Raw genomic sequence first — 12,092 nt, 5'->3', positions numbered from 1 at the left:
GGAAAAAATATTAAGTCCTGCACTTAGGTTCAAAAACTACTGTATAAAACTACCACAAATGGCTTAGTTAGATGCAATTTCAATATGAGTGTATGCTCACTCAAAGTTCATTCACATTTAGGCTGCATTAACAGATACCTGTGTCCCTAACAACAGACGAGGAAGTCTGATTTCTGTACATGTCAGAGCATACCTGGAATATCTTGTTCAGTTGCGCATCACACACTTTAAGAAGGACACTAACAAAACTGGAAGGATTTCAGAGAGCAGCAACCAGGTTGGAGAAACTAAGACGTGAGAAATGGCAGAATGAACTGAAGATGCTTAGCCAGTACCCTAAAAACACACTTTGGGTGCAAGCAGGGCTAGAAAGGTATAATGGCTACAAGCAGTGAGAAGGGCCAGGCTTACTCTGGGAGGCCCCAAAACAGGAACTAGGATGCTATAAGAAGTAGACTGAGACTTAAAATGTACAGTATCTTTCTACATAATTTAAACTGTATATATATATATATATATACACACACACACACACACATATATATACGTGTATATATATACATATATACACGTATATATATACATATATATACACACATATATATGTGTGTGTGTGTGTATATATATATATATATATATATATATATATATATATATATATTTTTTTTTTTTTTTTTTTTTTTTTTTTTTACTTTTTTTATTTTTGGAGACATGTCCTCATTCTGTTGCCCAGGCTGGAGTGCAGTGGCATGATCATGGCTAACTGCAACTGCAGTCTCAAACTCCTGGGCTCAAACAATCTTTCCACTTCAGCCACCCGAGTAGCTGGGACCACAGACACATGCCACCATGACCAGCTTTTTTTTTTTTTGTAGACACAAGGTCTTGCTATGTTGCCCAGACTGGTCTAGAACTCTGGGGCTCAAGCAAATCCTCCCACCTCAGCCTCCCAAAGTGCCGGAATTACAGATATGAGCCACTGAGTCAAGCCTAGAACTGTATATTTTTAATTTTTTTTAATAGAGATGGGGTCTCACTTATGTTGACCAGGCTGGTCTCGAACTCCTGGCCTCAAGCGATTTTCCCATCTTGGCCTCCCAAAGTGCTGGGATTACAGGTGTCAGCCACCATGCCCAGCCTTAGAACTGTATATTTTTAAAAATGGAATAGGCTGCCCTGTGAAGCAATGAGCTCCCATCACTAGAGGGAACCAAGCAGAAGCTGAGAAATTATGGAGATAATTAATACATGAGGTGGAGGGTAGGAAGACAATTCTAACCCTGAGAGAATGTGAAACCAAAAATCCAATAGCTTCTCCATATGCAAAGATGCTCAACTCTGCTTATAAAAGACATTCAGGCCAGGCGCAGTGGCTCACGCCTGTAATCCCAGCACTTTGGGAGGTCGAGGCTGACAGATCACGAGGTAAAGAGATCGAGACCGGCAGATCACGAGGTCAAGAGATCGAGACCATCCTGGCCAACATGATGAAACCCTGTCTCTACTAAAAATACAAAAAAATTAGCTGAGAGTGCTGGTGGGCGCCTGTAGTCCCAGCTACTTGGGAGACTGAGGCAGGAGAATCACTTGAACCCAGGAGGCAGAGGTTGCAGTGAGCCGAGATCGTGCCACTGCACTCCAGCCTGGGCAACAGAGCAAGAAGACTCTGCCTCAAAAAAAAAAAAAACAAAACAAAACAAAACAAAAAAAACTGTAAAATTTATATAGGAGATAGGAAAAAATCTTTGTGACTTTGGGTTACATTTCTTTTCTTTTTTTTTTTTTGAGACGGAGTCTTGCTCTGTCGTCCATGCTGGAGTGCAGTGGCACGATCTCGACTCACTGTAAGCTCCGCCTCCCGGGTTCGCGCCATTCTCCTGCCTCAGCCTCCCGAGTAGCTGGGACTGCAGGCGCCCGCCACCACGCCCAGCTAATTTTTAGTAGAGACGGGGTTTCACCATGTTAGCCAGGATGGTCTCGATCTCCTGACTTCGTGATCCGCCCACCTCGGCCTCCCAAAATGCTGGGATTACAGGCGTGAGCCACTGCGCCCGGCCTACTGTGGATTACATTTCTTAGATTCAGTACCAAAAGCATAATCCACAAAAGGAAAAATTAATAAATTGGAACTGAGTGGCTAGGGAATGGTTGGGAGCAGGAAGAATTTTTACTATATATACTTTTTAAAAAAATTCTTTTTTATACTTTTTTCTGCCCTTGAATACATATACTTTTGTGCCTTTTGATTTTCAAACCATGTGAATGTATCCAATATGTCTTTAAAAGATCAGCAACTTCAGGCTGGACACGGTGGCTCATGCCTGTAATCCCAGCACTTTGGGAGGCCGAAGCAGGCGGATCATCTGGGGTCAGGAGTTCGACATCAGCATGGCCAACATGGCGAAACCCCGGCTCTACTAAAAATACAAAAATTAGCCGGGCACGGTAGTGTGCACCTATATTCCCAGCTACTCCGGAGGCTGAGGCAGGAGAATTGCTTGAACTCGGGAGGCGGAGATTGCAGTAAGTTGAGACCACACCACTGCACTCCAGCCTTGGGCAATAGAGCAAAACTCTGTCTCAAAAAAAAAAAAAAAAAAAAAAAGCCAATCGCAAAAGGACAAATGTTGTATGATTCCTCTTATATGAGGTTTCTAGAATAGTCAAAATCACAGAGACAGAAAGTAGAAAGATGGTTGCCGGGGGTGGGAGCAGGGGGGAAATGGGGAGTTAAATGTTTAATGGTGACAGAGTTTCAGTTTGGGAAACTAAGAAAGTTCTGGAGATGGATAGTGATGAGGGTTGCACAACAATGCAAATGTACTTAATGCCACAGAACTGGTTACAATGGAAAATGTTATACTATGTATTTTTTTCCTTAATTTTAAAAATCGGCAACTTCTGGCCACCTGTAATTCCAGCACTTTGGGAGGCCGAGGCAGGCAGATCCCTTGAGCACAGGAGTTTGAGACCAGCCTGGGCAACAGGGCAAGAACCGTCTCTGTAAAAAATACAAAAATTAGCCAGGTGTGGTGGCATGTGCCTGTGGTCCCAGCTACTCAGGGGGTAAGGTGGAAGGATCACCTGAGCCCAGAAGATCAAGGCTGCCGTAAGCCGTAATCACACCACTGCACTCCAACATGGGCTACAGAGCAAGTTCTGTCTCAAAAAAAAAAAAAAAAATCAGCAGCTCCTGATTCTGATTTTGCAATAGGCTCTGCCTTATAGCTAAGCAACATTCCCTACTTGGCTTTCACGTCAACATAATGAAGGTTTACGCTCTTTCAGTACACCTGAGTCTTTGTCCAGCATACATCTTTTTTAAGTGTTTCCCAGTATTTTTCTATTCACCTCCCTACCAAGCAAGACTGGTACCATGAACCCCTTTTTCAAGAAGCCCTTGAAGTTATGAAAATTGGGTTCATTTAATTATAGTACACTAAAATTTATGGTTCCTCAAATACCACTCTAAGCCTTTCAAGGTTCTTCTCTCTGACACCCCTCACCCCTCTCCCATCACTTCTGGCCTTGGGAGCTAGAGAAACCCAAAGCAAGCAGTGTGTGGTTTGCTCCTCCTTACGCAGGCCATCAGTGTCTAAATCTGGCCCTTAACCTACTTGTCATGCCATGTGACCCATACTGTTTACTACCGTCTCAGTGGCCACAGGCAAAGCTTATTATTACACAAACCCCTGATCACCAAACCACACATTCTGGCTGGCGGGTCTGCTCGGAAGAAAAGCATTCCTGTTTCAGCCATGGCCTACCCTCTAGTTCACCTGTGCTGCTATAAACAAACCCAGGCCTGCTTGGAAACGGGCTTTAAACAATATTTTTAAATCCTATCATTTGGGTAAAGAAAGACACCATCGTAAAAACAACACTAACACAATAGTAAGATAAGAAATATTGACACATATTTACCAACCAGTGCCACGCCTGACCCAGAACCTTCTCACTTGAACACCAGGAATGGACTTAAAGGCTTTATGGCGTTCAGGCTTAGACTGCTAAGGTACGAGTTCAACCTGATTCATCAGATTAAGCTAAATACATACAGCCTTGGGTGTAGGTGGTATTTACATTAGGACTCCTCCCTCTCCTATAGAAACTGTTTCTCAAGCCCAACTTAGGGAGAGAGCAGCAGGCAGGAACAGGACGATCACAACCTTCATTTCTCATTAGTTTCTACAGGAGTTAAGGTTTCCAAAAGGCTGGTTCTCAGCACTAGGAGCTGGCACACCTAGCAACTTCTCAAAATAGAAATGCCATGGGGTTTCTCTTCCATTTCACTGTCAAGGCCTGGCTCTCCCAGTCTCATCTGATGTCAAGTCACCACAAACAAGGGGCATGGTGGTCTGGTGGTTCAAGGGCAGTTAACTCTCAATTATTTGGGGGCTGATGATGAAGAAGATGGTTTGTACTTCACCTCCCTGGTCATTGCACTACTCCACAGTATCCACCAGTTTCCCTGTTTGCAGTTTTGACAAAGAGAACCAGTGAGCAAGGAAGTTAGAGCTAACATAGCAGCTAAGACTTGCAATGTTTGAGGATTTTATCTGAACATGCTGTCTCCTGTTCTAGGGTTAACCACCATAGTCTACATTTTATTTGTTTTTGTTTTTTTTGTTTTTTTTTTTTTGAGACGGAGTCTCGCTGTGTCGCCCAGGCTGGAGTGCAGTGGCGCGATCTCGGCTCACTGCAAGCTCTGCCTCCCGGGTTCACGCCATTCTCCTGCCTCAGCCTCCCAAGTAGCTGGGACTACAGGCACCCGCCACAATACCCAGCTAATTTTTTGCATTTTTAGTAGAGATGGGGTTTCACCGTGTTAGCCAGGATGGTCTTGATCTCCTGACCTCGTGATCCGCCTGCCTCTGCCTCCCAAAGTGCTGGGATTACAGGCGTGAGCCACTGCGCCCGGCCAATAGTCTACATTTTAATGTGCTCTGATCTTTACAGTGATTTTCAAACTTTTTGATTCCATGACTCTTTTTTTTTTTTTTGGAGACAGAGTCTTGCTCTGTTGCCCAGGCTAGAGTGAGTGCAGTGGCATGATCACAGCTCACTGCAGCGTCGACCTTCTGGGCTCAAGCGATCCTCTGGCATCCACCTCCCAAGTAGCTGGGAACACAGGCACATGCCACCATGCCCAGCTAATTTTTTTGGTTTTCTTGTCAGTGTGTTGCCCAGGTTGATCTCAAACTCCTGGGCTCAAGCAGTCCTCCCACAGCAGCCTCCCAAAGTGCTGGGATTACAGGCATTACTTTGACTCTTTTGAACCTTACTAGTGCCATTGCTTTAAATTTTTTTATTTATTTGTATTCTTTTAGTTATGCCTCAGGATCTAACTTTTTTTTTAAACTACCTCTTCAGAATACCAAGATCAGCTCTTCTTTTGCCAAAAGTACTATAAAGAGATACCACAGTGCCATTTCTTCTCTCTTCAATGGCTCTCAATCTTTTTCTGCCTCCACGCTGTTCCTGTATGCAACGCGTTCCTGTTAATAACATCTCTAATGACACTGTAATGGTTCCCAAAAACCAAGGAAGAGGCATACCTTCCTCTTACTCTGCCTCTCGCTGCCCTGAGAATCACTAAAATAATTTACGCCCCCAATACAGACAGAGACTACAATGAATATTAATACAAGAAGTCTGCCAGAGAACTACCTGCTGGCTTCTTAAAATTACTGAATGCAAACCAGGTATGAAGACCCTAGTCATTGCCAGGAAGCATAGGAGGATCCTACTTTTAATGCCCATCGCTTTTAATGCCCAGAGCCACCCTGCAAGAGCTCAGGGGAGTCAGGGAACTTGATCTCCTCAGGTCACACCTAGGAAACAACTAGGTCTAGCGGATAAAGAACTCAAGCCCCTGGACTTTCGGATTCTAGTTTGGCTCTAGGTGACCCTGGCCTTGCCTCTCCGAACAATCTCCACATCTGCAAAATGAAAATGTTAAAACTGCCCCCTCCCTGCTTCCATCTTCCAAGATTACCTGCGGAATAACAACTATGTCACTAAAGCTGAGCGTCTTGGATAAATCATGAGAAAAAGATCCTTCTCTCCAATGCATACACCCACATAGCAGAAGGAAAACAGATTCCATAACGAGCTCCCTCCTTTTTTCCCTCAAGAGCCACCGAAAAACTCAGGAGAGAGGGTGGGATGTAGCAGCACGTGACCAAGGCAACGCCAAAGTTTAGCCCGCGGTGACACACCAATGAAAGAGCGGGGCTTTGCTTGCATCTGGCGCTGGGCAGCGGGCAGGGGCCGCATCGTGGCATGCTAGGAACCAGGAGACCTGGGCTCCAGGGGTGTGCGGTACAGGAACGAGGGCATTCCACAGGAGTCACTTTATCCGATGGCATGGATGGTGAGCTTCCGAGGAGCCTGAAAACGCTTCTGGAAAGGCGGAAAGAAAAAAAAGCCCGCTCCAAACTGCAAGATCAGGGATGGCTGCCAGGAGCCCCTCGGCCGGCTCCATCCAGCTGGGGACGGCCGCGCGAGGACCCCGGGCGGCTGCGGAGAGCGCGCGCAGGCGGGACAACGGTCTTTATTTAGGTCGGGGATGAGGACTCCCAGGGGCCTCGAAATAAATACTCAGGGCGTCGGCGTTGGGAGCCCTCTGGGCCAGGGCCTAGGCACGACAGACCTGGGGCAGGGATTCTTTGTTGGCGAGAGGCTTTATTTCTGGCGAGAGACCCCACAATGGACCAATCCAGGGCTGAGAGCAAGAGTCTGAAGACTCGGGGGAAGGCAATGGTCAAGAGCTGGAGACTAGAGCCAGTCCCTGGACTCCCCCTCAGGAGGCATCCCCTTAAGCCGTTCTCTGGGTGCAGACCCCAGACTCCCCTTTCCTTGGCCAAGAATCCAAAGGACGCGCAAGGCCGAGCCCCACGCCCCCTTGCTCCCCACTTTCGGGCCACGGGCCTTCTCGTACTTACCGGGGCCCCGGGGCTGGTCTTCCTCGCCCGCGTCCTCTCCCCTCCCAACCCCCTCCTCACTTCACGTCCCCTCCTCCGGGGGCCGCAGCCATGTCCGTTACTGGCAACTCTAAGGGGGCTTGCCTCCCTTCCGGGCAACAGAGGCGCCGGCCAGAGAGCTAAAGTTCAGGCCACCGATTGGTCAGGATTTGAGAATAGGGGGAATTCTGGCTTCTTATTGGCTACGCGGCGTGCTAGGCTGTAGCTGCAACCGCCCCTCTGGGAGCCTGGCGGAATTAGGTGCCGAGTGATGCGGCCGGGAGAGTGAAGAGCCACTGTCCTTTCCTGTGCGTAAAGCTCAGGCAGTTTCTAGTCCAGAAACCCTGACCAGAGGGCATGGCTTTACCTCCGATTCGTTTTCCTACAGAATTATTCTAAAAAGATAGACGGCGCGCCCCACCTTTTTTCCCTTTCTTTTTAAAATAAGCCCTTTGCAGAGCTCCCCGCCTCTCTTAAGTTCTTCTAAGCTCCCTCCTTGTTGCCTTGAACAAATGCCTAGAGGCTGCCCGCTCCGAGAGGCCTTGGAGGGACTCCCTCAGGACGAATATTGCGTCCAAACCAAATCTAGAAAATCTAAGGCAATACTGCAATTCCCCCCTCCCGCTTCCAGCTCGGCTGAAATCTAAAGGGAAAAACAAGTTAAATTTTTTTTCTAGGTAATTAGATAAATCGCCTGGGAGACCTCTCTTGGGAAAACAAAGCAAGCCTGTGTCAGTATTTACTTCTCTTTTCCCAGAGATCTAAGTCTGGAAGGCTTGTTTAAAAAAAACAAAAACAAAAAAACAAACAAAAACTTGTTTATATAATTGGGAAAGAGCTGAGGTTGGCCTTGTGAAGTAAGAGCCCCTTCCCACATTCATGAGTTTAATTACGTAATTAAAATCCCTTTCTCAGCTGGACAAGAAGATGGCATTTTAGTACCTAATCTTGTATGACCCAGTTTAGCTGTTGCCTAAAACGCCATAAGAATCATGTCACTAACCTGCACACAAAAACTGATAGTTCACCTTTGCAAATAGGTCCAAATCTTTCTGCCTGATGTTCAAAGTCCTTCATAAATTGACTCAGACATACGTTTCCAGGTCTAAGTCCCCACAGGCTAAACTATTCCTGCAGCCACATAGATTAACCACCATTCTTTAAACGTGACAGAGACCTTTCCACCTCTGCTCCTTCGTCACATGGTTGGTTCCCTACGCTTTGCTTTAAAGGTTCTTTTTTTCTTTTTTTTTTTGAGACGGAGTTTCGCTCTTGTCGCCTAGGCTGGAGGGCAATGGCTTGATCTCGGCTCACTGCAACCTTCACCTCCCGGGTTCAAGTGATTCTCTTGCCACGGCCTCCGGAGTAGCTGGGATTACAGGTGCCTGCCACCATACCCAGCTAATTTTTGTATTTTTAGTAGAGACAGGGTTTGAACATGTTGGCCAGGCTGGTCTCAAACTCCTGAGCTCAGGTGATCCACCTGCCTCGGCCTGCCAAAGTGCTGTGATTACAGGCGTGAGCCACCGCACCCAGCCTGACGGTTCTTTCTTATCAGTAAAGCCAGCATGCAAATAAATACTTAATCAACCTAAAGGCCCACCTCAAATGCTACCTTTCTTGACTTTTATTTTTTCTTGTATGTATGTACATATTTATTTATTTTTAGAGCAGGGTATCACTCTGTCACCCAGTCTGGCAAGTGCAGTGGTGCCATCATAGCTCACTGCAGCCTCGAACACCTGGGCTCAAGCAATCCTCCCACCTCAGCCTCCTGAGTAGCTAGGACTACAGGTGCGAACCACCACACCCAGCTAATTTTTTTATTTTTTATAGAGATGGGGTCTTGCTATGTTGCCCAGGTTAGTCTCAAACTCCTGGCCTCAAGCAATCCTCCTGCCTCAGCCTCCCAAAATGCTGGGATCGCAAGTGTGAGCCACCACTCCCAGCCTCTCCCTGGGTTTTAGTCATTGACTCTCTCTATATATAATGCTGGGCCTCCTTCTCTGTGTCTGCATTGCCACCTTTGCAAAAGTCTGCTTTATACAGCATTGCTCTTTTTGTAAGACCTCAAACTCCCTGCGGGCAGCTGGCTTATCTTAGCAGTTTCCACAGCACCTTACTTGCTGCCTTGTATCCATTAACATTTGTTGAATTGAGCTAGCAGGCTACCTATATATTACATCTTTCCACTTGACCCCTTAAGATCTAGTTGGCTGCCTTTGGAAGATTAACAAATGTAGCACAGTCACTTCACTTTGAACCTCTCAGCCCCCTCTGGCCACACTGGTTTTTCAGCTCCACTGGGTTTTATGAATATCACTCAATGAAATTGCACTGAATGCCTGCTAGTTTCAAGGGCTCTGCAACTCTCCATCTGCCTGACCACTTCCTCTGTCAGTCCCCTCAGCCATAAAATTTTGCTACATGAGTAAATCAAATCACTCAAGCCAGAACATGCCAATGTGCCCACTCTAAATTCACCCTGAATTAGCTTTGCAGATCTGAGGTCCCTTAACCAAGTCTTGTTGGTTGTCTAGCAACCCCAAGCAGCTATACCAATCCTTCTTCATTTTTCTGAAGCTTCCCGTGTCTTCAGATGAGTACCAAGATGAGTCTATTGAGAAGAAGACCAAGGCCTTCCCTTGGAGATTTCTCATCTACTTCATCCACTTCTCTTTCCCTTTCTATGTTCCTGCAGGAAGACAGCCTTTTCCTCCTTTTCCCCATCTGTGTTCTCAGTCCCTCCCCCTCCAGCCTTACATGCCATTTCCCTTAGCTCAGGAGTGTTCAATCTTTAGGCTTCCCTGGGCCATGTTGGAAGAAGAATTGTCTTGGGCCACACATAAACTACACTAACACTGCTGGGCACGGTGGCTCACGCCTGTAATCACAGCACTTTAGGGGGCTGAGGCGGGCAGATCATCTGAGGTCAGGAGTTCGAGACCAGCCCGGCCAATATGGTGAAACCCTGTTTCTACCAAAAAATACAAAAATTAGCAGGGCATGGTGGTGCATGCCTGTAGTCCCAGCTACTCGGGAGGCTGAGACAGGAGAATCACTTGAATCCAGGAGGCGGAGGTTGCAGTGAGCCAAGATCGCGCCACTGCACTGCAGCCTGGGTGACAGAGCAAGACTCCGTCTCACAAAAAAAAAAAAAAAAAAAAAAAGAAGAAGAAATGTGTTCAAGAGATAGTTAGCAGGTAGAACAGGCACAGTCTAGTGGCTGGACTTAAGGTTTAGGGTGAAGGAGGAAGGGATAACTCGATTTCTGCACCTCAGATCTCATATCATCTGAGTTACAATGACAGAAGCTACCTCTGCCAGCTCCAGATTACCTGGTCAAGGCCAATTTAGAGCATAGTACTGGACAAAGCATCAGCGAGAAAACACTCTTGTTTATCTATAAGATTTCCCTTCATCTAAACAGAGATATGAGAAGTGAGTCAGAAACGAGAGTGATCCAGCAGGACTCATTCAGGCTGTTGAGCCAGGAATGACGTGCAGAATCACACACAAGCAGGGCAAGGTCCTCCCACACCCTGACCTGAGCATCCTTCCTCATTGCACCTTTCTTTTTTTTTTTTTTTTTTTTGAGACTGAGTCTCGCTCTATCACCCAGGCTGGAGTGCAGTGGCGCGATCTTGGCTCACTGCAACCTCCGCCTCCAGGGTTCAAGTGATTCTCCAGCCTCAGCCTCCCCAGTAGCTGGGATTACAGGCATGTGCCACCATGCCCGGCTAATTTTTGTATTTTTAGTAAAGATGGGGTTTCACCATGTTGGTCAGGCTGGTCTTGAACTCCTGACCTCGTGATCCACCCACCTTGGCCTTCCGAAGTGATGGGATTACAGGCGTGAGCCACCGCACCTGGCAGCCATCTTTTCAACCTAGTCATTTGTTTAAAAGTAACAGGAGTAGGCTGGGTGCAGTGGCTCACTTCTGTAAGCCCAGTCCTTTGGGAGGCTGAGGTGGGTGTATCACCTGAGTTCAGGGATTCAAGACTAGCCTGGCCAACATGGTGAAACCCTGTCTGTACAAAAATACAAAAATTAGCTGGGCGTGGTGGTGGGCACCTGTAATCCCAGCTACTCCGGAGGCTGAGGTGGGAAACTCACTTGAAGCTGGGATGTGGAGGTTGCAGTGAGCCGAGATAGCTCCACTGCACTGCAGCCTGGGTGACAAAGCAAGACTCCATCTCAAAAAAAAAGAAAAGAAAAAAAGGGAGCTGGGTCCGGTGGCTCATGCCTGCATGCCTGTAATTCCAGCACTTTGGGAGGCAGAGGTGGGCAGATTGCTTGAGCCTAGGAGTTCAAGACCCACCTGGGGAACATAGCGAGATGCCTTCTCTATTAAAAAATTTTTCAAAAGAGAAAAAAGTATATAATAAAAAAGAAATAATGGGCTTCGAATCACACAGGGGAAAGGTTTGGAGGGAGATAGCAATGGATGAAGACAGAGGCTGGCATTCGGGGTCGGGACTGAGGATACTTGCAATGTGAGGCCTGGTGAAATTATCTGAGCCGTTGATTCTTGAACAGGTAGTTCCCATGTTCAGCTTGCTCCATCGGCAAGAGCCTTCTGCCTAGGCCGGGCGCGGTGGCTCCCGCCTATAATCCCAGCACTTTGGGAGGCCGAGGCGAGCGGATCACGAGGTCAGGAGATCGAGACCATCCTGGCTAACACGGTGAAACCTCGTCTCTACTAAAAATACAAAAAAAAAATTAGCCGGGCGTGGTGGCGAGTGCCTGTAGTCCCAGCTACTTGGGAGGCTGAGACAGGAGAATGGTGTCAACCCAGGAGGCGGAGCTTGCAGTGAGCTGAGGTCACGCCACTGCACTCCAGCCTGGGTGACAGAGCAAGACTCCGTCTCAGAAAAAAAAAAAAAAAAGAGCCTTTTGCCTCTAAGTTGTGAGTGATATTTTTAGGAGAAGCTGCTCCTTTAATCCCTGCATCGTGTAGTAGTGATATCTCACTGACAATAGGCTCCTCTTGGGCCCTTTGATTCAACCAAGAGGTCCCACTGAAGAACATTGTTGTAAATACTGCCAGCGAGACAATTCTGACACGTCTTTGTACCCCTAAAGAGTGGTCTGGGCCAAGCCTGTAATCCCAACACTTTAGGAGG

General features: G+C 47.1%; 1 protein-coding gene across 29 annotated transcripts in view, besides 4 other annotated features; it reads right to left on the bottom strand.

Annotated features, from left to right (window-relative positions):
- Window positions 1-7,064, bottom strand: part of TMEM94 (transmembrane protein 94) — a 43,818-nt gene extending 36,754 nt beyond the window's left edge. For 26 of the 29 annotated variants that reach the window (XM_011525514.3, NM_001438842.1, XM_047437159.1 and 23 more), the window contains exon 1: window positions 6,948-7,064. The gene's annotated coding sequence lies outside the window, so the exon portion shown is untranslated. Of the gene's footprint in view, window positions 1-6,221; window positions 6,406-6,947 lie in introns of all 29 variants that reach the window. The other 3 variants (XM_047437170.1, NM_001438841.1, XM_047437179.1) reach the window with 1 other exon arrangement.
- Window positions 3,765-3,814: a silencer, noted in NCBI's record as "silent region_8967". NCBI's record gives its function as "represses an Ori minimal core promoter by ATAC-STARR-seq in GM12878 lymphoblastoid cells {active_cell/tissue: GM12878}" and the evidence as "EXISTENCE:reporter gene assay evidence [ECO:0000049][PMID:35858748]".
- Window positions 7,008-7,167: a silencer, noted in NCBI's record as "silent region_8966". NCBI's record gives its function as "represses an Ori minimal core promoter by ATAC-STARR-seq in GM12878 lymphoblastoid cells {active_cell/tissue: GM12878}" and the evidence as "EXISTENCE:reporter gene assay evidence [ECO:0000049][PMID:35858748]".
- Window positions 7,318-7,367: an enhancer, noted in NCBI's record as "active region_12764". NCBI's record gives its function as "activates an Ori minimal core promoter by ATAC-STARR-seq in GM12878 lymphoblastoid cells {active_cell/tissue: GM12878}" and the evidence as "EXISTENCE:reporter gene assay evidence [ECO:0000049][PMID:35858748]".
- Window positions 10,297-10,591: an enhancer, noted in NCBI's record as "tiled region #2319; HepG2 Activating DNase matched - State 5:Enh, and K562 Activating DNase unmatched - State 5:Enh". NCBI's record gives its function as "activates a minimal TATA promoter and a strong SV40 promoter by Sharpr-MPRA in HepG2 cells, with weak activation in K562 cells {active_cell/tissue: HepG2 | K562}" and the evidence as "EXISTENCE:reporter gene assay evidence [ECO:0000049][PMID:27701403]".

This window comes from Homo sapiens, chromosome 17, assembly GCF_000001405.40.
Source record: "Homo sapiens chromosome 17, GRCh38.p14 Primary Assembly".
In the NCBI taxonomy this organism is placed as follows: Eukaryota; Metazoa; Chordata; class Mammalia; order Primates; family Hominidae; genus Homo; species Homo sapiens.
The sequence above is the reverse complement of the archived record's forward strand: the minus strand, read 5'-3'. Positions and strand labels throughout refer to the sequence as shown.